The sequence below is a fragment of the Homo sapiens genome, chromosome 9 (genome assembly GCF_000001405.40).
Source record: "Homo sapiens chromosome 9, GRCh38.p14 Primary Assembly".
Classification (NCBI taxonomy): domain Eukaryota; kingdom Metazoa; phylum Chordata; class Mammalia; order Primates; family Hominidae; genus Homo; species Homo sapiens.
This window is the reverse complement of record NC_000009.12, coordinates 14,393,894-14,419,315: the sequence shown is the minus strand read 5'-3', so window position 1 is coordinate 14,419,315 and position 25,422 is coordinate 14,393,894. Positions and strand designations below refer to the sequence as shown.

General features: G+C 39.3%; 1 protein-coding gene across 5 annotated transcripts in view, besides 1 other annotated feature; it reads left to right on the top strand.

The window, feature by feature from the left end:
* Window positions 1-25,422, top strand: part of NFIB (nuclear factor I B) — a 450,235-nt gene that overhangs the window by 112,762 nt on the left and 312,051 nt on the right. The window contains exon 1 of one of the 5 annotated variants that reach the window (NM_001190738.2): window positions 20,333-20,792. The exons of the other annotated variants lie outside the window; for them this stretch is intronic. Within the exon in view, the coding sequence (NP_001177667.1) occupies window positions 20,685-20,792 (108 nt within the window). The 5' untranslated portion in view covers window positions 20,333-20,684. Of the gene's footprint in view, window positions 1-20,332; window positions 20,793-25,422 lie in introns of those variants that run through there. 5 annotated transcript variants of the gene reach the window in all.
* Window positions 23,278-23,495: a silencer, noted in NCBI's record as "fragment chr9:14395820-14396037 (GRCh37/hg19 assembly coordinates)". NCBI's record gives its function as "represses an EF-1alpha promoter that drives an FKBP-Casp9 reporter gene in an ReSE screen in K562 erythroleukemia cells {active_cell/tissue: K562}" and the evidence as "EXISTENCE:reporter gene assay evidence [ECO:0000049][PMID:32094911]".

Sequence of the window (25,422 nt, the reverse complement as noted above, 5' to 3'; positions counted from 1 at the left end):
TTTCTTTCTTGCTTTTTTTTTTTTTTTTAACAGTGCTGCTAGCTGTATAAATATTTTACAGTTCCCCTATGAAAAGTTTCCAAGGGGCCCATGTTGAGGGAAAAAAATCTTTGAAAGGATTTTTTCCATAGCAATTAAAACCTTTCAAAGCACCGAGAGCTCCCCAGTCCCACTTTAGTGCAACAAACCTCTATTTTTTTGCCCAGTTTGGATGGCTCTGGGTCTGAAAGTAAGCCAGCCTCTTTGTTTGGTGACTTTGCAGGTTGCCGATAGACATTTGGAATTTAAATTCATTAGATACATGGCAGAGCCGTGGATGGAACTGGGATGGATTTAGAAATGCTGTGATCAGAAACTCTAACCCCTATTTCCTGTATCTCATTTACTGGGGTAAAATGACTATAAATCAACCTAAAGCTCATTTTAGCTCCCCAGATGAAGTCAAATGTACACTCTGACTTATGCATATACCATTTTTAGTTAACGCACCAATAAAAATAATTGTGCAAGCCTAAATTTGGAAGTGTTCCCAGCGTTTATGACAAAACTTAATAAAGCCAGGCACATTGAATGTAATATGGGAATTTTATTGAAATGAAATTAGTCCATCATGTAAGCTGCACGTTTTCCTCAGATTTCTTGGACTTCATATGAGAGCTCTCCTGGGGACCCTAATAGGGTCTTGCAAAAATTCAAGTCCAGTATGTAGAGACACAGGGCTCACACGCAGACTCTGCAGCTGGTAGGATGGTGCACTGAGTTTCCATGCAGCAAACCACACACACTTCTCCAAGCATACCCCTACTCTTTTCACCCTGGTTCTAAGCAGCAGATATATTGTTGTGGTTTTACTCAACACACGAGACTCCTGGAGAGATGGGGGTGGGGGTTCATTTGTAATTCTAGTAACAGTGGTATGTGCCAGAAACCTATTATGTAACTTCCCTGGGGAAACAGCATGGTGGGAGCCATTGTGGATGTTCATATAGTTTGGTTGCTGAGCTGTATTTAGGCATGAAAGCCAGGGGGCTGTGAGATGCTTTTTTCGCTGCTCAAAGGAGGAAGCAGTATTTATTTCTTTGAAATGTGGGGTTGAGGGTGGGGGTGCAGGGACGAGAAGATGTGAATAAAGAAATTGAAGTTCTGATATAGATTATATTACATTTACAGTGGTCCTCAGACTTTAATGAGTACATTAACACTTCCTGGGGTGCTTGTTTAAAAAAACTGTTCCTGGCTGGGCGCGGTGGCTCACCGCGCTGTAATCCCAACACTTTGGGAGGCCGAGGTGGGTGGATCACCTGAGGTCAGGAGTTCAAGACCAGCCTGACCAACATGGTGAAACCCCATCTCTACTAAAAGTACGAGAAATTAGCTGGGCGTGGGGGGCACCTGTAATCCCAGCTACCCGGGAGGCTGAGGCAGGAGAATCACTTGAACTCGGGAGGCAGAGGTTGCAGTGAGCCGAGATCGCACCATTGCATTCCAGCCTGGGCAACAAGAGTGAAACTCCGTCTCAAAAAAAAAAAAAAAAAAAAAAACTGTTCCTAGGCCCTAACTCAAGAGATTTTAATTTATGACACCTAGAACTATACCTAACAACTTGTATTTTAAATAATACCCCAGATGATTTTGACAGAGGTAGTCTAAGGATCTCAGTTTAAAATACTTCTATCTGGTTAGTCATCAACAACAGCAAAGAAACTTCAATATCTTTAATAAATATTTGTTTTTGAGGTGTTACCATGTGCTGAGCATAGGGGAAGGTCTTCCAGCCCAACTACTTCACTGCATTTGGACCATCATCTTGGTAGGTGTCCAGTTTATTTTTTAAAATCTCAGGAGACTGATACAGTCACGATGAATACGTTCTGAGAAATGCATCATTAGGCAATTTCATTATCGTGTGAACTTCATACAGTGTGCTTACACAAACCCAGATGGTGTAGCCTGCTATACACCTAGGCTCTGTGGTATAGCCTGTTGCTCCTAGGCAGCAAACCTGTACAACATGTTACCATACTGAATACTGTAAGCAATTATAACACAATGGTAAGTATTTGTGTACCTAAACATATCTAGACACAGAAAAGGTACAGTAAAAAATACAGTATAAAAGATTTAAGGCCGGGTGTGGTGGCTCACACCTGTAATCCCAGCACTTTGGGAGGCTGAGGCAGGCAGATCACGAGGTCAGGAGTTCAAGACCAGCCTAGCAACATGGTGAAACCCTGTCTCTACTAAAGATACAAAAAATTAGCCGGGTGTGGTGACACACACATGTAATCCCAGCTACTTGGGAGGCTGAGGCAGGAGAATCGCTTGAACCCGAGAGGCGGAGGTTGCAGTGAGCTGAGATCATGCCATTGCACTCCAGCCTGGGCAACAGGGCAAGACTCCTTCTCAAAAAAAAAAAAAAAAAAGTAAAAATAGTATACCTATACAGGGCTCTTCTCATGAATGGAGCTTGCAGGACTGGAAGCTGCCCTAGGTGAGTCAGTGAGTGAGGGGTGAGTGAATGTGAAGGCCTAGGACTTTACTGTACACTACTGTAGGCTTTATAAAGACTGTGCACTTGGGCCACACTACATTTATATTAAAATTTTTTCTTTCTTCAATAATAAATTAGTCTTAGCTTACTTGTAACATTTTTACCCTGTAAACTTAATTTTTTTAACTTGTTAACCGTTTAGTAATAATGCAGCTTAAAACACACATTGTACAGCTGTAAAAAATTTTTTCTTTATATTATTATTCTGTAAGCATTCTTGTATTTTAATTTTTTCTTTTATTTGTAATTTTTTTTTTTGTTAAAAACTAGGACACAAACACACACATTAGCCTGGGCCTACACAGGGTCAGGGTCATCACTATTACTATCTTTCACCTCCGCCTCTTGTCTCACTGGAAGGTCTTCAGGGGCAGTAACACATGCGGAGCTGTCACCTCCTATGTTAACAATGCCTTCTTCTGGAATACCTCCTGAAGGACCTGCCTTAGGCTTTTACAGTTAACTTTTTAAAAATAAGTAGAAGGAGGTATACTCTAAAATAACAATAAAAAGTAGAGTAAATACTAAGTGATAGGACTTTTTCAGCTCTGTTATAATCTATGGGACCATTATGGTATATGTGGTTTGACATTGACCTAAAAGTGGTTATGTGGTGCATGACTGTACTTCATAGCTTTGTTTTATAGCTTGTTTCAGTGCTTACTCACCATTGCTGTTTAGACTTTTTTTCTTAGGTTTATACAAATTTCTTCTTGCTGAAATTCAAGCCCATTTCTCCCTGGTTCTTCTTTAGAAGGAATAGAGACTAGTCGGATGGTGTCTTAATAATAATCCTGTATGTATTTAAAGGAGACTAGAGTTATCTCCCCTATTAACCCACAGACAGACAGATTTGCTCATGGCTCAGTGGCCAATTTCCATCTGTAAGGCTTCAAACCATTAGGTCCAAAGATGGCTGAATTAGGCCTGTACCATACGGGGGTGTCTCCTTTGATTACCTTCCCCAAAGCCATCTTGGTGGGACTTGAGGGATTTAAGGAGCTATTGTTGGACACCGACATCACCATTTCCACAGTCCATATGGAGAGAGTGATTATCTTTTTTACTTTCTCTTAAATGCAGTTCTTTCTACTTCCCTTCATCTTCCCTAAGCTTCATGTCTCTAATTAACAGATTATGAAACTTCTAGACCTCTTGGGCTAGAACAGAAAATGAATTGGAAAATTCAAAGGGAAATTGGACAATGCCTTTTCCTCTTGGTGACAGCATTAGACAGCCTCTGAGGTGGCCTCCTGCTATTCACACTTTGTGCAGTCACCGGCCTTTGAGTGTGGGCAGGACCTGTGACTTGTTTCTAGTTGATAGAATATTGTAAAGGTGATGGGATGTCATTCATGTGATTATGTTACATTGTAACATAGTATATGGTATAAGTCATGTGTTGTGGGTTATGCCTCGTATACAAGACTTTGTCTTGCTAGTGAAATTGCCCCAGAGACTCTCCTTGCTGGCTTGATGAAGTAAGTGGTCATGATGAGAAAGTCCATGTGGCAAGCAACCATGGTGGCCTCTGGGAGCTGAGGGCAGTCTCTAATCAATAGCCAGCAAGAAAGTGGGGCCTTCAGTTCAGCTGCAAGGAAGTAAATTCTATTAAGAACCTGAGTGAGCTTGGAAGCAGGTTCTTCCCCAATCAGGCCTGCCTGTGAGAATGCAGCCTGGCTGACAACCTGCTTGCAGTCTTATGGGATCCTGAGCTAAAGACCCAGCTGAAGTGTGTTCTGACTCCTGCCCCACAGAAACTGTGAGATAATAAATACTTGGTGATGTTTTAAGCTGTTAAATGTGTGGTGGTTTATTAGTCAGCAAGAGGAAACTAATAGAATGGCCATTTGATTTGGCTTATCTGACAGTGTGTGGGGAAGTCTACAAGGATTTTTTGAGAGAAGGCCTCCAAAGAAACATTTAGCCTAAGTGTCAGGCTCAATAAAATACCTCATATTTATATACTTGTAAATATTTTGGACCATGCTTAAGATATTCTATAACATTTAAATAAAAGCTATTTTCCCTTTAAAATGAATAATAAATGTAACAACAAAATTGTCATTTACTGAGCACATTCTGTATGCTTTGGAGTGCTTTGTAGATACTAATTCATTTAATCCTCTTAACTGGCATGTAGGTAGGCACTATTATGAACTCCGTTTTACAGACAAGGAAGCTGAAACACCAAGAAATGAGGCCATCTACTTACGGTCACTAAACAAATTTGCCAAAAAAAAAAAAAAAAAATACAAAACGTGAGAAAGGCTTTTGGCCTTTTGGTATCCAGTTATGTCCAATTACGTTTTCTTTTTTTTTTTTTTTTTTTTGAGACAGTCTCACTCTGTCCGCAGGCTGGAGTGCAGTGGTGCAATCTTGGCTCACTGCAACCTCTGCCTCTCGGGTTCAAGCAATTCTCCTGCCTCAGCCTCCCGAGTAGCTAGGACTACAGGCACATGCCACCACGCCCAGCTAATTTTTGTATTTTTAGTAGAGATGAGGTTTCACCATATTGGCCATGGGGTCTCAATCTCTTGACCTTGTAATCTGCCCACCTTGGCCTCCCAAAGTGCTAGGATTACAGACGTGAGCCACCACACCCGGCCCATATCTTCATTTTTAGAATTATGTCTAGAGATTATGAAAACGGGACATGGCATGTGCCTCACTAGACTTCCGAGAGGACCTATATAAATTAATCAGCTATTTTCACTAATAATTACAATAAGTGCTGAGTAGACATAAGTGAATGCTTCGGTAAATCTATAAAGCTGGAAATTGAGACGTTCAAACCCTTGAACCAAGTAGGATTTCCACAGGAACACTCATTTTGGACAAGTTATTTGCATGTTGTTTCTATTTGTCTCTATTTTAGTGGCTTTTTTCACTATATTTTTCATTTTGTTAATATTATTTTGAAAATGTAGAAACAAAAGACTGAGCCTGACATGGTCAATGGATGGACCATTTTGTGGCTGTCTTAGGTCATGCTGTTTTTATGCATCCTGGAATGATATTAAATTACCTTTGGAAAAATAGCTGTACCATGTCCCAAGCTGGTGGGAAGCCTATGATTTACTTTTTTTCTACAGGCCTTAAATGTAATCAAGCATTCCCAAATTCTATTTGCAGCTTTTTTATTTCCTTTGGCCTTAAGAACCCCATTCAGATTCTGCCAACATGTTTTTAGTGAATGCTAGGAGGTAATTACTAGTGTCTTCACTTTACAGATAAAAAACCCTGAGACTCAGAAAAGCAAAACTCTCTGTGGTTAAACAATTAGAAATAACCAATAAGGGATCTGAAATCAAGCTATCCTGTTTCACACTCAAGGCCCTATTGACTATATAACAAACTGAGTGCTATGTATTCCCTCTAAAAAGATTCTTAATGACAAATGATCATGAGCTAGACCATGCATGCTTCCCCCCACTCCTCATTGTGGAGTGTGCAGAAAAAGTAAGTAGAAGTTATTTAAATATGCCTGATACTGTTCCCCAAAATGGTGCATTTTTTAAGCTCACTGGGAAGGCTCCAGCTGCCCCAAGTGTGTCCTCCATTGCCATCCATGCCACTGGAGACTTATTCCTTTGGATCTGGAGGCTTTGTGCTCCTCATAAGTTTCATTACAAATCCAACAGATGGAGAGAGCACAGAGCATGATGGGAAGGCAGTTCAGAGCTACCCAGGGGTTCTTTGAAAGCCTCCCGCATATATTCTTCCAGTTAGAGATGGCAGTGCCAGTTAAAGAGGTGTGATTTGAGGGAAGGAGGAGGGGTGGTTTGTACTGTGGCTCTTCTGGAGTGGGCAGGGCTGAGCCCTGAAGTGGAGGCGCCCTTCCTAGTGTATTTGTAACCAGACACCACCCCACTTAGAGAAGTAACTGAACTTTTAGCCTCCTCTGAACAAACATTTTTTAAAGCTCCTAAATAAAATGTAAAAGCTCCATACCCCACCCCTACTTTTGCTTTGTCCCTGGGTCTAGTTTAATTACGTATCCCATGCCCTGAGCGCTCCCCTCTGGGGAGTGCCTTCACAGTCTGCATCTCTTGGGTCTGGGGCATTGAAGAAATCCTTCCTTCTCCCTGAGAGTTGATCTGGAGTAACCCACCACAGCTGAGCCCTGCTCATGCCCCACATTCCAGATCACATCTTCTGGAAGCCCTACAACCGATGAGAAGAAAGCAGGACTTGACTCATGGGGAATTTGCGAGGGTTGTAGGGAGGCCAGTCGCAGCAGCAGGAGAAGAATGAACCTTCATTTTGAATCTCTCACACTCAGAGAGAATAACCCAATTTGAACACTGTCAACTTGTTCCTTAGCTGGTAGGTCTTCTGGTGCTATCTGAAACCATCGCATTTTGCTTTACTCATTTGTTCAATAACATTCCTTACTGTGTGTCAAGCACTACTCTAGGTATTAGGGATACAACAGTCAACTTGGTCCCTTTTCTGAAAGCGTAAATTGTTCAATGGGAGAGTCAGACACATGGATGAGTGATTGCCATTCAGAACAATACATTATGTGGGAACACATAGGACAATCTAAGACCATATGTAAGTACTTTATTGCTGCATAACAAATTACCCCCAAACTTGGTAGCTTAAAACAATACATATCTCTTGTCTCATACAGATTCTAAAGGTCAAGAGTCAGGGAGTAGCTTAGCTGGGTGGTTCTGGCTGAAAGTCAATCATGATATTGCTGTCAAGGTGTCAGCCAGGGCTGCAGTCATCTGAAGGCTTGGCTGGGGCTGAAGGATCTGCTTCCAAAAAAGCTCACTCACGTGGCTGTTGGCCTCTGTTCTTTACCACATAGGCCTCTCTTTGGGCTGCTCACAACACGCCCTGCCCTAGCCTCCCCATCGGAACAAGCAACCTTAGAGAGAGGGAGCAGACAGAAACCACAGTGTTTTTTATACCTAGTCTCAGAAGTGACTTCCCATCAATTCTGCTGTATTCTATTGGTAACAGACCAGCCTTAATACAGTGTAGGAGGGAATTACACAGGGCATAAATACCAGGATGGGGGTTTATTGGGGACTGTCATGGAGACGGTCATCCTCATCCAGTCTAGGTGCATGAGAGAAGGACCCCAACAGAAACGAAGGCCACAGGAGGAAAAGAGTTCAAGCCCTGGTATTGTTCCGTGGCTCATGAAGATTTGCAGTAGCTCTCAATCCACTAACAAGGGGTGGTTTCTCTCCTGACACGATCTCTTTCCTTCTTTGGATGCTTAGGATGGCCAGGTGCCCTTATATTGGGCTCATCCAGTCTCAGGACCTATCATTTTCTAAGCCAGGAGGAAAGTGGGATGAGAATATACTAAATTCCTTGGCCACTCTGAGCCACACCCCCCTGCATGAGGAGCTTTATCTGAACTCGACTAAGACCTCTGTAATAGATCAATCGACAAATTGTATGGGTCATAAATGTACCGGATTTGTATCATTATTACTGGTGCAATGTAGAGACAAATTCAACGTCAGTAAAAGTACCAGATGACCAACCAAAATTGCTAATATCCAGTAATGTGTGTCCACTGAAACTTCTTTTTGTCTTTGTGGGAAAAGAAGTGACTTTGTGGGAAGTCTGAAGGTTGGGGATTCTTAGAAGATTTCTAAATGAAATAACATCTTAATATTTTTGCTCATTTTTACAACTATGTCAAAATGGAAACACATTTACAAGAATTTGACTTTTTACTTACCACTAATTGAGATTTTTTTAAAGCATCAATTGTGGGGTTTGGTAAAAATTGACATATTTCTTCCAAGGGAAAATATACTGACCTTTGCAAGGTGTCAAAGGTAACAGAACTCTGACAATAGACTAATCTCAGAGACTGATTATCTTTAACATTTATATTCCCTGTATCAATAGAAATGAGAAGGAAATGAATGAGTCTGAATTTTAAATTCATCATTTTCTGTGTGCATTTGTGGTCTGGGTCTTTGGTCACTGAGCCAAGCACTGTAGACCCCAGAGCACAGGAGAGACCTCATGTTTAGGAAAGTGGGAGTTGTTTCGTGTCAAAACTAGTGGCAAAAGGAGTATGATGCTCCCAGGAGAGCAGGAAAGCATCTATCAGAAGACTCAAGTGTACTTTCTCTCTGCTCATAACCTTCAACCTCTTTGTTTTCTCTGAATCACTCTCAACTTTCTTCCACCACAATCTAAGGCAAGGCTGATTTTAAAGTACTTTTTCATTTCCCTTTTATTTTTAGGAGGTTACCAGAGGCAAAGGTAATCATGCTCTGATGAACTGTAACTCTTCCCAAATCTCCTAACCTCTTCTACCTTATGCATAGTAGTTTACTCTGCCCTTTGCATTAATATTAGGCCCTTTCCAATAAATGATTCAAAATGTAAGACAATTGATACACGGTATAACAGAGCCCAACAGTAGGACTCAGACAACTGAAATATTGGCTACAGTGGGGCAAAATATGAAAATATGGAGCTATGAAGTAAAATGCAAAGATTGCAAACATATAACAATATCCAGAATCTGCTTGGTCATTTGGAAAATGATTTTTTTTGGAAAAGTTTTTTTTTTTTTTGGAAAATAGTAGGTATCAAGAAAGAAACTCAGAGAAGGGTAGGATTGTCTCATGTCACTTACTGTATTTTGATGCATGGCTGAATTTTAAATGTTAAAATGACTTAACACGGTTACAGACTTTAGAAACCTGCCCCTCACCCCCTATATCCCTAGAGCACATAAAAGACATTCCTGTTAAAGATACAAGTGTATATGAAAAGGCTAGTAGTACTAAAGTTTGGGTGATAAACTTATCTGTGTTTCCAAATCATAATATTGAACATTCATTCTTTTGCTTTAGCAACAGGTTTTAACATCAATTTTTCATATCCTAAATCCCTAATTAGTTCTTTTCTTAACCATCTGTTCTTTTAATTGTTTATAATACCTTCTCTTATCAGACTGAAGATATTAATTATACTTCAAGTCCAATTCTATTTTAACTGGTTTCTTGAGATATAAGTTCTTTTCTTTGTGTGATTGCTGTTTGTCTTCCTCCTTCCCAACTATGTTGTTGGAGTAGAGGAAGAAGCTACTTAACTTTTCTTTCTACTTTTTCAGCAAAAGTGGGGAAAGGTGAGCTGTGTCATAGACAGTATTCTAGTGGCTGGCCTTCGGAGTGTTGCCGCTCCCCTTTCCTCATGGGGCACTGCCCTGTCTTCTCTAACCCTAGAAGTACTCCCTTCAAAGAAAGAGCCGTCTGTTGCTGCTGCCTGGGCCAGGGGTGAAGGATGGCATGGGCAGGCATTAGCATTCCTGGATATCCTACTGTAGAACTGCAATCCAGCCGTGTGGCTGGTTGTTTGTGAACCCTCCCCTGCTCCTAACACCCTTCATCTCTAGACAGGGAGCACCAGCTCTGTGCTGAGGCTGGCTTGCACCTGCTCATAAGAACAGATAGTTCAATTTTCAGGAAATTTGCCAGCCAGTTGTTAAACAGCCATTATTAAAAATTAAATTATATAAGCTTATAATTAAATAAATTATATGAAAAGCAAGCTAATAAATACTCAAAACTCATCACTTCCTAGTTATTTGGCTATATGTTATTATTATTCATGTTCTCGAGGTTATTTATCCATGATGGAAATGTTTACAGCATGCATGTCAACAAACACTAAAAATCTGGGCTTCTTCCCCACCACAGAACCAGTTTTTAAACATGTACCAGTATATCACTAGGCATACACTTCTGTAACTTCTCAATTTCTTGGCAGTACTTAAACCAGACTGGCTGGGTTTAAACCCAGATTTTGCCATTTACTGGCTATGTAACTTGGGCACATCATTTAACTTCTCTGTGCCTCAGTTTTATCACCTGCAAAATAGGGATAATATAGCAACTATTTCACAGGGTTGCTATGAGGATTAAAAAAATGATATTTATGAAGCACTTTTAAAAAATGCCTGAAACCTAATAAGTACTGTGTATTTGCTAAATAAAATAAAATAAAAATTATTCTAAGAACCACTTTTCCCCTCTGATTCTATTGTAATTTTTTCTTATCTCTCAAAATCTTTTCTACTCTTTTTCCACACTAATAAAACATCCAACTTTCGTTGTACCCATGACCATTCAAAATAAAGATAAGATTTCTCAGCCTCCCATGAATAAATTGGGATCAAGTGATATAAACAGATGCATCATGTAATCACATCCAGAAATTAATCTTCAAGTGACAGTTGGCAAATTCCCTTTGTCCCCTTTTTTTCTGTATTCCCGCCTCCATTGTGGTCTCTGAAACTTGGGTGTGATGGCTAGAATTCTACTCACCATATGGTACCATGGGGAAGAAAGTCATACCCTAGGGATAATGGAAATCTGAACATACAAATATGAAAAGAACTACTCATAGTTGATGACAATAAAGATGTAAAAAGTGGCTGAAATAGGTTCATGGTTTAGAATGAAAATAAAGATATACAGATTCAGGTATATCTGTATAAATAAAAAGAGGCTTGAGAGCTAAACTTAGACTCTTAATGATCTTCCAGTTCCAGATCCATGAGGCCCAGCTCCCGTGGCTCATGTTATTGGATTTCTGGAAGATTCCATGTCCCTTATTGCCATGTGCATCTTTATAATATACTTTCACTACTGGAGCTAACATAATTGGCAATTTCTTGAAACTAGGCCTGAAACTAACTAAACCTTTTCATTTAGAATACAAATGTGAAGGTATAATTCTACTTATTTACAGGTATATTTTGTGCATTAAAATTTTTTTGTTGGGCTGGCACAGTGGCTCATGCCTGTAACCCCCGGGCTTTGAGAGGCAAGGATGGGAGGATTACTTGAGGCCAAGAGTTCAAGACCTACCGAGGCAACACAGTGAGAACCCTGTCTCTGCAAAAATTTTTAAAATTAGATGAGCACGGTGGTACACACTTGTAGTCCCAGCTACTCAGGAGGCTGAGGTGGGACAATTGCTTGAGCCCAGGAGTTTAAGTTACAGTGAGCTATGATTGTACCACCACACTCCAGCCTGGGCAACAAAGCAAGATCCTGTCTCTAAAAATAAAAATAAAAAGTAAATTTTTTTTGGTGCAGACAAACTTACACCACAGGCCTTCTCCTTTGGAAATGTTTATTCCACACTATCTGAATTTTTATATATTATCTTTAATTCATGTTTTCCTTGGGGAAAATTGCATAGATGAAGTTTGTTTATCCTCTAACTCCTTTGTTGCTCATTCTCATCTGAGTTAAGCTCCGTTTTGAACAGAGGCGTGCACCTGATGGACCCTCCTCAGACCTATGCCCAGTTCGGTAACACCACAGACTTTCTCTCCTTGTCTCATCACAATTTACCAATAAGATAAGATTTTCCTTAAGACAATGCTAAATAACTGGCCAGTTAATCAAAAACAGTCTGATTTGCATTGAGACAATATTTGATTCTATTATGGACTTTATTATTGACTCATATGAAAGTATTAAACTGGCTCTTCCAGTTAAAGCAAAGGAAAGTTTAATATTTGCAGAATATTTAGTTAGATGTTTGGCATTATCCTAAGGGCATTATTTAACCTAACTTTTACAATGACTGTGTCGAGGAAGGTTTTTTAGTTGCGAGCAAGAAAAACCAATTCTGGGTAACAAATAGAAAATAAATAAATTGAAAGGATATTCATTTGGGAGCTCACAGGGTTGCCAAGAGGGCCACAGAATGAGGCTTGGAAAATGGGCAGAAATAAAGATAAGGCAGCCCTACTATTAATTTTAATACTGATGCAATCTCTGCATTAACAGATAAACCATGATATCTCAATGGCTTAAAACAATATGTATTTCTCACTCACAGTTCAATTGGTGTTTGAGGGAAAGAAGGTGAGGCTTTGCTCTACGTAATCGCTAAAGAGGTCAAACTGACAAGACCACAAATGTTTTCAACATTGGACTTCCAGGATCACCTTGACCTGAATATTCTGTCACCAGATGAGGGGAAAAGAGCAAGTGGAGACACAGTCCATGTGCACCTTTTTTATAGGTCAAGACTGGAAGCAGCCTCCGTCACTTCTGTCTACATTTCATTGGGCAGAAATTAGTCACGTGACCACACCTAGCTATGAGAGAGGAAATACCACCTAGTAAGAAAGAGGAACAGCTAGCTTGTCTCTGCCCCAGCCTATCCTTCTGGTTGCCAAAGATCTGTGTCATGTTTCCTTCTACACACAGCACAATCACACACTCCCCAAGAAAGAGAACTCAAAGCACTGTCTACTCACTGAGTTAGGCTCTATGTCCAGATTCTCTAGGGATGCCATCTTCCCCATCAGGTCCAGATTCATGGCTCACCATGGCCCAGCTATCTGTAAGTAGAAGGACAATTACCTACTGCCTCCTCCCCAACACATCCCTTCTAGAGTGGTGGGACAAGAACAAAATAATTGCAGTAAACATACCCTTGTGAAAAAGAGAAGACTCATAGCAGTCACTGGTGAAGGTGTCATATTTTACTGGGGGAAAGACGTTATGAAAACCCTGCTCTGGGAGTGAGGAAAGTTTCTGGAATAGGTCCTAGATCTGCTTTCTCAGAGAAACTCCCTTGTCCATTGGTCTTCATAGCTCCTGGATCCACTATGTAAAAGTTTCTTCTTTGTCCTTTTCCTCCTTGGCCACTTGTAATATGAGTGAAGGAAAATACACCCTCCTAGGAGGCTGTATAACTTTGGTGGCCCAAAGCCTATTTTAATAATCAAAGGTATGCTTTAGTCTAACTTTATGGTTTCTTTGGCAGTACAATTCCCTCAAAAACCTAGTAGATTTCTAATATATTTACTTCCAATCAACTTCATGTGCTAGAAAGCATATCCAAGGTTCTTCCCTAGTCATAGTTCTTAGGCCTGATTTATATTCTTGCTTTCTAAGTCTTCATGTTTCATTCTCTGTCTACTGTATTGAACCCATCGGGGCTAAATAGGAAGACTTCACCCTTGATTTGTTCTTAGCTGCAAGGCTGAGTCTTATTCATTCTGATTTCCTACTGTTTTTTTGGAAGCAGTCAATTTTTCCAACTTTTCAACACCTCTAGTTTCTGACATTCCATTTCATTTTTGCTTGAAAACAAGCCAATCCTTGCCTGAGTTCATCCATTTTTTTTGGAAATTGCTACTAACGTTCTGTTTTCCAACCCTTTTCCCTAGAGCTAAAGAATCAGCATGCACTTGGCCTGTCTTTTGAGTTATAGCAAGAGGCAGTTTTATCAAAGGTTTTGCCACCGCATAACATAGATCTTCATCTTTCCAGCCTCCAAAGTCAGTTTCCCTGCCATTCACATCCTCGTTGCTTAGCTGATGCCAGACATTTTAGGTTTTTGTTATGGCAACATTCCACACTCTGGAATGAATGTGCACATTAGTTATGGAAATTCTAGCTGTTATTTGGATTTCCTGAAATCTCAATGACATAATACAATAGAAGTTTTTTTCTCATCCACTAAAATCTAATTGGTGAGGAGGCTCTGCTCCCTATAACCATTCAGGGACTCAGGCTGATGAAGGCTGTGCCATATTTAAATGTGACTTCAAGGTTAGACTGGGCATCACCAGCCAGCTGATAGTTGAAGGAAGAGAGATTATGGAGAATCCAGTGGGAGGACTTTATGGATCAGACCTGAAGTGATATCTATTTCTATCAACCACAAACTATTAGCCAGAACTCTGGTAATAGGTCAAACCTAACTCAAAAGGGAGACTGAAAAATACAGTACAGTTGTATGCCCAGCAGGAAAGGAAAATAGGTAAAAAACTACACGGAGTCTCTTCCGTAAACTGGAACCTCAGCCAAAATCATGCCAAACAACAGATGAGTGAGGACAACACCCCTTTTGCTGCTGGAGGCTGGACACGGAAGCTTGCACCACCAATGCCTCCAGCATCCAAACAAGATACTGTCATTATGTTGCTGCCCCTTAGAAGACAATCTTGCTGCTACTGTCACACCATCCACGCTAGAATAGGTTCTCCATGGTCCTAGTCTCTTTAACTCACTAGCTCCCAAGTCAAAGCCCAAAGCAGATTTGTAGAGTTTAGGTCATAGGCCTACTCCCTTATTTGCACTAAAGCCTGGGAAAACAAGTCTGCATTTTTAGCTTCTACAGGGAGCTGTAGACTCTGCCCTCAATCGTAACTCATAAGGTGAGAGAGTCTCCAAATAAACATGGGGAATCAAACTAAATCAAAGGAAACAATTTCATGATGGAAATTTCAGCAACAATGGCAAGCTGGTAGGAAAGAGTATTTTGAACAAGTAGGAGGTGGCCGACTTTATTCTGTATATGTATATGCATGTGGTCTTGATTCCTATCCATCAAGATTTCTGAAGGTTTGCTTTCATCTAGAGCTGTCTTGCTCACCACAGCATCCCACTGCCAAGAATAGTGCCTGATACTTGGTAGTCACTCAATAAATGTTTACCAAATCAAAGAATCCTCGGGGTGGTAGATATGCTCACCTATGCTTCTGTTCCTTCTTGCATTTTTGATAGCTGGTAGGGGTTGTTTAAACCTAAATACAGGAATAAGAGTAAAAGAGCTTCAATATTAGATAGATGGACCACACCACAGGAGTGTCTCCTGCCTAGTTTCTGACTATAGAAGTATTCTTTTAATTATATAATACAGTCCATGAAAATCAGAGATAGGAGGAAAGACCAGTACACATTGCCAAAAATTATTTTTCAGGTTTTCTCCATTTTATCTTTCAGAAGGATATACTGAAATTTAAGTCTGAAAGTTAATTTTTTTTATCCAAAGAGATTCATGTTCTTGGTCCATATATTTGGAATGATCTCTTTGAGGTGCTTCTTTTTCCTTAGTAGGCTAGTGGCCTTGAGTATGTCTTATAAGAATTTGTGTTTGTTTCCTTTTCTTATAGAATTCCTTCCTGGGAATGTGAATTATGGCATCTCTTTGACAGAGAAAGATTTGCTTTTCCAAAGATTTTAAGTGGCACTGATATTACATGACAATATTTTAAAAGACAACCGACTAATACAGGGTAAAGATGTTTAATCCTTTCCTCTCTAACAAGAAAATCTCCTTTCATCCTGTATTATTTTCATAAGAAAAACTATGGCATGCATTACCATGTCTCAGTTTATTTGCCCTGATTTAGATGAGGTTAAAAAGTTATATGTTCAATGAGCTCTTTAGGAAAAAAGAGAAATGGGAAAGAAGAGGGGAGAGGAGGGGAGGGGAGGGGAGGAGAGGGAGAATCTGGCTTTCTTTTCCAGTATAACTTAGATTTAGAATTAAGAGTCTGAAAATTACAAAATATGGATGTTGGGCACCACAAAAAAGGGAAATTTCTGGGAAAGGGGTATTCTGTCTCTTCTATTACACCCTAAAACAGGGATCCGGGAGCATGGCCACCTGGCACAGATGCCCTGCCTTGCCTGCTGAGGCTGCCTGCAAAAACCTATCGTCTCTTAAAGAGACAAGGCTGTATTCTGAACATGGCTCATCTTGGCCTGAGGAATCAGACCCCTTTTACATCGTTTCATAGCCGTAGATGCTCAGATTTTAAGAGTGCAGAGCCAGGTGCCTGTATAAACTATGTGTTTGAAAAGGGGCTGGGATAAAGGTGCAAGAACAGGACAAAAGAAATGTTCTGCTCAAACAATGCATAAGTGGAGAGTCTGTACATGTCGGCCAAAATGATTGTAAATAGGACTGAGACTATTAGCCTGGATGCTCCAGTCCAGATTCAGTATTTCAAATACCTCCTGGTACTGTATTTGCAAATCATATTTGAGTAAGCACTGGAGCTTTTTTCCTTTTTAGAAATCGACTACTTTTTGTTGCAGGATAAGATGAAAGACAAGCTAATTGCTTTAAAAAATTATTAAAAAGTATTATTTTTTAAATTTCTGAGCACGTTGGAGTTAATAGTTTTGGCATCTAGTGTTTCATTTCAAGGCTAATATACCATGCCATCTGCCACGTGACAGTGTCTTTATTAGGTTACCATGGTATATAAAAAGCAAAATGCTTTGCAAAGTTTTTGAGCAGGATGATTTTTATTTCCCCCTTCAAATTTTTTCAAATGTAAATGAACATGTTTTCAATAAAACTGTTGAAATGAGTTATAAATATTGAGATGGTAGTACCCAATAATTTAAGGCTGATGTTTTCTTTTACAATCTTAATTTTTTTAAATCTGAGAATAATCCTAAGGCTTAGAGAATCTTACAAATATATATAAACTATTAATCCCATTACAACATTAATGACTACAAAAAATACTCAGAATTATTTCCTCATAATTAAAAAAAGGACCTTTACTTCAACTGTATTTAAGCAAACTGAAACTGTTCATTTTTCTTTTGTTTAAGCTGGAAGCAAAGTACAGAGTCTCAAAGAAGGTGAAAAGAGAAAATGGGATTTGCAGAGTTTTTGACATAAGCTAATAATTTTCTCCTTAAAGCTAATGATTTATATGCACTAGTTTGCCTCTGCCTCCCAAAATGTAGTTTGAGGTGGCAATGTAATTCAGCTTTGCTGGATCAATTTCATCCAGCTTCATCTAAGCCGGATGATTTTTGCAAGTGTTTTTAAAGATAATGTGTGATCAGTATGTCTCTTTCATGCTCTGGCAGTCAAAGTTTCAGGCTTTCTCCCCCTTCTGTCTCTGGGGAAAATTTTCCAGGCTTCAATTTTTCCATATGCCTTGTAAAAAGAATTTTTTTAAATAAGTTGTTTGTGTCCAGGGGTACATGCACACGTACACTAAGAGGCATACATATGTATTTAACTGAAAGAGACAGCAGTCATATATACTTGTGACAGTACTTTGACATTCATATAAGCAAAAGGTGTAGGGAAAAGATTTCTGGCCCACCAGTCTCACTTTTATTATTGAAATGAAGCACATTAGGGATTGTTCTGGAAAAGAATTTCTGTATAACTCATGACCTAAGCTTACTATTACAAAGCCTAGGATGTGCCTCCCATAAGAGATAAGATTAAAATGACATGGAGATGGGCACTGGTGGGAGGCCCAAAAAGTACTCAGCATCACTGCTTATTTCCAATTAAAACTAGTGTTTCTAATTAAACACTAGACCACTAGGCTCTGTTTAGATCCACGGTACAGAAATTGCATTCCTAAAAGCAACATAAGGGAATATAGAATACTTAACTTTCAAAGTAAGTCAATAAATACTTGTTGAGTAACTATTTATAGGATAGGAACTGTACTAGGTGCCAAGAAGATGACTTGAGTAAGATAGACGCTGCCCTAGGTTTCTTGTAGCTTCCAGGCCGATGGTGAACTGGTATTTCCCAATGATGGATAGTACTGTGCTTAGAAAACTAAGACCCCAGAGATTGGAAGCAAGGCCTCACGAGGACAAAATTTCACAAACCCAGTGTCTGTGCCACAAGATTGATTTCAGTTAGAAAATAGAGCAGGTAGAAGAGAGATTGACAAAAGTTGAACAGATTCAGGACATTGACTCAGTGAATGTCAAGAGGCTGATTGATCCCTAGTGTGGTACTGCTGAAAGCTATTGAGGTTGTCAATGGGTAGACACACAATGAGCCTTTTCAAGTAGTTTATTCTCCAATGAGCCTTTTGATAAAGACTTGGAATTGTCTGTCATATCTATTGAGCATCTACTTAACCACTACTTCTTGGAACTTGTGTCATCCTAAGTAGAAATCCACCTACATAATATTCTGTCCCTTCTTGGGATGATTAGAAAAACATTCCTGGTTATGAGGGTGAAATATCAAAGAGGGTGAAAAACTGAGGCTACTCTGGCCCGAGGAGTGGTCGCTGATTGGCTACTTCGGAAGTGGCTCACCAGAAAGGCCTTTGCCAAGCCATTGCCTCCTCCCTACGCCAGTGATGCAATATCACCCCACCAGAATGTTTTGTTCTCCAAGACCCTTGTTTCAATGGGTACATCCCATTAGCAAGGCCAGCAGATGTCAGTCCTGATCCACTTTTTCTCAATAATGAACGAGGAGGAAGAGCCTATCGCTTTCCCAATCACTGCCTTCCATTTGCTGGCTTTTCTTCTTCCTGAGATGGAGGCCTCCTGCTTGGTTTGCTTTGTTAATATTTGCATTATTCAATAGTTATTATGTGATAAGCATGTTGTTTGCTTTCGATTTTGGTTGGTTTATTTTCTTGTGCTTTTATTCTTAGCTGGTGGCTTAACTTGAGTTACAGCTGTGACCTGTATATTACTCAGCATGGATAGAATGTATGTTTTTACAGCTTCTTACCTGATGCCTCAACAATCCAAAGTTGGGTCAAAAAAACAAAACAAAACAAAATTTAACGGGAAAAACATGTAGCTTTTATTCTGCAAAGTCATCTCCTTGGTGTCAGCCTTGGATATATCCCTTTTAGAATGAAGAGGCTTAGGCTTGCAAGTACTTCAGCAAACATCGTTTCTGAATGCACATATTTTTAGCTTTCTGATTAAGAAGTAGTAGGATCCCTGTGCATTTACTGAGTGGGAATCTTATCCTTGAGTTAAGACATTTTATGTTTAAAGATTAAGTAATTTATCATAAGTGCATATGGAACGATTTTAAGTAAACAGAACATAAAGCTACTGTTGAGAATGCATTCTGCTGCTTGCAATACACTATTCATTATGAAGACATGCTTTAAAATTGCTATTGAAGTTTTAAAGTCCAGGACTTACTAGTGAAGAAAAATGTGTGTTTTTGCCTTTGATCTAGTATTGTTTGTTACAGCTGATTAGCTGTTACGTACTCCAAGGTAAAATTGTCATGTAAGATGATTTCAACATGTTATAAAAGAATCTGAACATTGAGAGATGGCCAGGGACAAGAGTGCATTTGGGCAATACTCTGTGGCTTAAGTTAAATGTCACATACTTATTTTACCAAGTTGCTTAACTCAAACCACAAGAACTTTCTTGATTTATTAAGAATAGCAATACAACCTAGAAGATATATGCAACTTTTAAACAACTCTCACTGAATATTGCAGTATTTTATTTCTTTCAAAGTAAAGACTATAATAACCAGATGCCTAATGCTGACTTTTTTATTTTTCACTTGAACATGACTTCTGGCTTTCAAGAATTTTAAAATCAAATCTAAGTAAACTTAACTCTTCTGGGGGCAGGGAGACAAAATCAATCATTATTTATAATTCTTTGCAACGTTAAAAATTAAAAACCAAAGGGTAGGTATTTGTAATTTTTTATTTCAAGCTGTTATTTTGATTACTTGCAAATTTTTTGCCTATTTTTAACTAAAAGAGAGACTCACTAATAAAAATACATTTATACCAAAAAAAGTATTCATATAAAACATCTTTTCATACTTTATTTAGAATTCCTGTGTTAATGTCAGCTGCAAAATTAAGAACAAAGCAAAGATAATTTCAGAAGACTTGTCTTGGCCTATAACATCGTGTCCTATTATTCCATCCAACTATCTAGACCAGTGCTTTCAATGGAAATATATAATGTGAGCCTTAAACAAGAGTCACACTTGTAATTTTAAATTTTCTGGTTGCCACATTTCTAAAAGTGAAAAGGTAAAATTAATTCCAACAACATATATTCAAAATATTATTTTAACATGTGATCAATATAAAAAATTGTACATTATATATTTTGTGTTCTTTTTTATGTGTTCTACGTTTTTGAAATTCCCATATAGTTTGCATTTATAGCACATCTCAATTCATGCAAGCCACATTTCAAGTACTCAGTAGTCATCTGTAGCTAGGGGCTACTATATTGGGCAGTACAGGTCTAGATGATCAAATGCCTACACTGAATGACTTCATAGAATATCACTGTTGAGCTGACACCGATCTAAAAGATTCACATGTCGGAGCAAGACTGTTAGTGGAGTAAACTCCTCGAGTGTACAGGACCCCTTTGTTCTTGTTCTATTTTGTTTTTAACAGCTTGCTCTGCTCCATAAAGATCCATCAGTCACCCTCAAACTCTTCGGACCTTCTGCCTGTTCATTCCTATGAAGCTGCGTTTGCTAAGGTACTCGGTGACCTGGAGCAAACATTCTAAAACAGCGCAAATGGCAGAAGCAGAGCCTACAGGCTTCTTGTCGGGAATCCGTTCGGAGTATGGAAAGAATCCCAGTGTCTGTGGACTTCTGGGTTGTCTGCTGTGCAGTTCTGAAATGTAACCCTGGGATTCCTAAAAGAATGTCAACTCTGTGCTTTGGATTTTCTGTGAGTCTAAATTTCACAAATTTAACCAGTTTTTCTTTCAAATAGGTCCCAACTTCTTAGACAATGTGTCTCAGTGTGGGGTTCAGAAAATATGGCTGCTCTAGAGAAGGTCCTTCCTGTTGCAGGGCTGGTTTTCCAATGTAGAGCGACTACTGAGGTGAACTTTCAGAGCTGGCATAAGGATTATTTGGAAATGGTAACAGAAATAATACAGAAGCTGGGGGATAAATTGTAGATGTTTCGGGGAAAAGAAACAGCATAGGTATTATGAAGTTAATCCCCTTCCCATAGGCCCTAAATTTCTGCAAGGTTAGTTGAGAGAGAAATTAAACTGAAAACTGAGAAATAATCCACGAAATGAAGATAAGTATCTTTCTTTGTTTTTTTATACCTCTACTATTTTACCCCACTCTAAGCCCTTAAAAAAAATCAATAAGCAGCCTTTGGTCTTGACATTTCCAGTAATATAACTCAATAGTATGGGAAATATTCATATATGTGAGCACATTACATGGAGCCTGGAGCATAGTGGGCACTAAATGAATGGAGGCCATTACTACAAATGTTATATTGCTGAGGAAACCACCCAGGCGACATGAGAAAACCAGAATGACAGTATGGTGCCATCTCCTCCGTATGTGTCACTTTTCTGTTTTATCTTGGTTCTCTGAAAAGCAGCACGTACCCATTATATCTTCTCTGTACCCTTCTGAATGGAATATTATTTCTTCCTTATTAACATACCTTAATTAATAATGGTGTCTTTGTATAGCTACTATGTCAGAACACCTCAGTGGGGTAAAGGTTAGGCATGATATTGCTGGCTGTCTTTTTATTTCTCTTATTAAGTTGAAAGAGAATATGGTTACAAAGTAATAAGCATGACTTCATATGGTCTTGAATAGGAATGTGATGGTTTTCTTAAAATGACCCTGGGTCCTTAGTTTTGGGCCAGATAAAGACTTGTGAATAATTTCTGAATCTTTTTGGGGGGGATAAAGGGATACTTTTATTCTTTACCCATTTTACAGTTTATAAAGAGAAGTGCCATATTAAATAGTCAGAAACAAGGATTGTTTTCTCCAAAATTAGCACTTAGTTATTATATTTGCTACCTAAAGTTCCATTGTCATCACTGAACTGTTAACTGCATAAAGCTGTTCAAGAAGAATTTGTCCAATGGCACAAATACACAGTTATCTTTGCATATTTACCTGAAACACAGTTGTTTGCTTGTTTTTCTCAGAGACTGCATTAGAAATAACCATATGTAACACTGCAGAAACAACCTATAGTTGAACATGACAACAGCAATTTTGTTAAGGTTCAGTTTTGCTTTTTCTCATTTGTTCCATATTTCCACTATTGCCCATCTAATATCAGTGGGCTTTTTACTTAAAGAAGAAGAGTGAGAAAGAAAGAGAGAGAGAGAATTGGACATAAATCATTTATTATAAAGAAATCAATTTCAACTCCTCTTCCCAGAACTGAAAGGAAGAGCTTCGTTAGGATCTCTTATCCTACTTAGTTTTTAGAATCCAAATTATATTTACTTCCTATAAAGTCATGACATGCAGGCTATAACAATGGTCCTCCCAAATCCATCTGCATCCCCACATTCTTGGGGCACCTCTCTTCTTTTTCAATTCCATTAATGGCTCAAAGACCACAGGCACCTTAGATTCAGCTACAGAGAATGATACTGGGTCACAGGCTCCTGTGACAATGACATTTTCTTTAGGAGTTCAGCAAAACTGCCTCACTGTTAACTTTTAATGAACATCTTTTCTTCCTTTGAAAAGTTTCAGTGAAATGAAACAAATGAGCAATTTCTCCTTTCGTCTCCACTTTTTGAGGGATAATATATAGTATCCTGGGTGCTGAAGTCTCCTGTGACATGCTGAATTTGGGGTGTGCCAATTTTTCCCACAGTTACACACAAATGTAATATAAGGGTTTTGGGTTTGTTTTTTTTTCCCCAAAGCCCAGGTCCTAAGATATCTTATAGCCTATAATACACCAAAAAGTAAAGAGGCTCCCCACCTGAATTTGGGCCCCACTGTTCATTTCAGAGGACGGCTGACTCAATGGAGAGCTCCCATGGGAGGCGTGCCAACAGTTCCTGGGACAATGAGTGGCACAGAGGCGCCACAGTCGTTATTTTGGAGCATTATTCTTTCTTGGTTTCCACAATAGCTGGGATCTCATAATTTAACATTAAGCCTCTTTTCAACTATATGGAAGTGTAATAAGGTGATTTAGCCAATGTGCCTGTTCGTTGTCCCAAAGATTCTGTGATCTATTATGCTGTGATGTGTAAAAAGAAAAAAAAAGGGAGAAAAATGGTGAAAAAAACATAAACCAACTAATTATCAAATACATTAAAAGCTGCTTTGCGAGAGCTATTATTTATTGGCATTTTTAATAAATCAATATAGATATAGGAATCGGCTGCAAAAGCCTCTGGGTTCATTCACATAATGAAAGCCCAATTAATATCCGCAAGCACAGTGCACTGCCGGCAACAGGGAGCTACAAGGACAATCACTGGCTTCCGCAGCCAACACTGACAGCTGCAGTGCCCTGATAGAAAACAGCTTCAAAGGCCCGATCCCCACCCCCACCCACACCCCAGCCTCAACTGAACACTCCCTTCATATCTCACCCGCACTGAGGCAAGGCCTGCAGGAACAGATGGGACACCAGAAGCAACCCATGGCTATCTGTGATGTCACCAAATGAGGCATTCTGGGATGCTGTTTGGGTGGCAAAAAAAAAAAAAAAAAAAAAAAAAAAAGTCAAAAGAATATGGGAGGGGGATGAGGAGGGATGAGGAAGAATTTTTTACGAGGTAAAATTAGCGTGGCAAGGCAACCACTGGGTTGGAGAATGAATGAACTGTAGGGTGGTGGAAGAGGTCATGCTGCATACAGATCGGGGCCGGCTTACATTTCAGTTTTATTTTAGTGTGGATTAAGGGAGCTTTATATTTGTGGGGCTCACGAGAAAAACATGTGGCTTCATGTCCTGTAGGCCTGTTTGCTTTGAATTCATCCAGGCCACAAAGCCCCTGCCAGCTCTCAGAGCTGGTATTGGGACACTACTGCCCTTCTCCCCAACCCCCAATCACTACTATTTTTTTCAAACAGGATCCAAACTTTCTTCCTTAAGATGTTGCATCTCTTGATTTTTTTTTTTTAGGTTTTTTTTTTTTTTGGCTGTCCCGAAATATTAATGAATATCTGACTAGACTAAAAACCTGAGTTCTAAAAATCACAGCATCCAAAACTGCTGTTTGGACCTCCTGTTCTGAGCAGCGATGGGGTAGCTAGCACACATATGGAGGCTTAAAGTCAATCTGCCAGGTGCTCTGTCACAGCATACACTGACATCTTGGCACCCAGGGTTCTGAGGAAGCCACCAGACACCAGTCTAGTAAAAGCAGAAATGTAGACCTTGACTAAATAGATAAAGAGAAAAAACTGGTCCTACCAAAAATTTCCAATTCTTGCGGAGATTGAGTGGACCAGAGGAGGTTATAAGGGAAAAATATTTTCCTTTGCCTTGTAATCAATATAATAATAATAATTGCAATTCATTAACTAATTAATTATATTCTTACAGCCCTTTAGAGTTTACACACATCTCCCGTGTCAGGAACTTTTAAACAAGGACTGCAATGATACTATTGTACAGAGAAGGCAGCTGAGACTTAGGGCAGTTCAGTAACTTGTTTATGATCACAGTTAGGAAATGTCAGAGGTGAGGCTTCATTCCCAGTCTTCCAAGTCCTCTACAAGACATGGAAGCCATTTGAAGGAATCCATGAAACAACCCATGATTGGTGACATGATTTGGTTGTGTCCCCACCCAAATCTCACCTTGAACTGTAATAATCCCCACTTGTTAAGGGCAGGGCCAGGTGGAGATAATTGAATCATGGGGGCATTTTCCCCATACTGTTCTTATGGTAGTGAATATGTCTCCCAAGGTCTGATGGTTTTATAAATGGGAGTTCCCTTGCACAAGCTCTTTTGCCTGCCACCATGTAAGACATGCCTTTGCTTCTCTTTTGCCTTCCACCATTATTATGAGGCATCCCCAGCCATGTGGAACTGTGAGTCCATTAAACCTCTTTCCTTTATAAATTACCCAGTTTCAGGTATGTCTTTATTAGCAGTGTGAGAACAGACTAATATAATTGGGATTTGTTTGTTTGTTTGTTTTGGCTCAAGAATCATTACTCTATGAGCATATATGTCCAACTAGAGTGTCTGTCCTATGTTATCCTTATAATAGCACTTGTTATGTTGAATTTGTACTTATTTATTTATTTGGCTGTTTTTCCCCCACTAGATTGGGACCTCTTTGAGGGATAGGCCTTTCTTATTCACCCCTGCATCTGCAGTGTTTTGCATAACACCTGGCATGTGGTAGGCATCTGTAAATGACTATTGAAGTAGGATGGATAAGTTAATACATAAACAGATGGATGAGTGGGTGGATGGACAGATAACAAAAGTCTTATTTTACCTATTTGTCTGATTTAGCATTCCCTCTCATGACCTTGAAGGAATGGAACATGTTGGGATAACCATTTCTGTATTTGTTAATTTACCAAAAATACTGT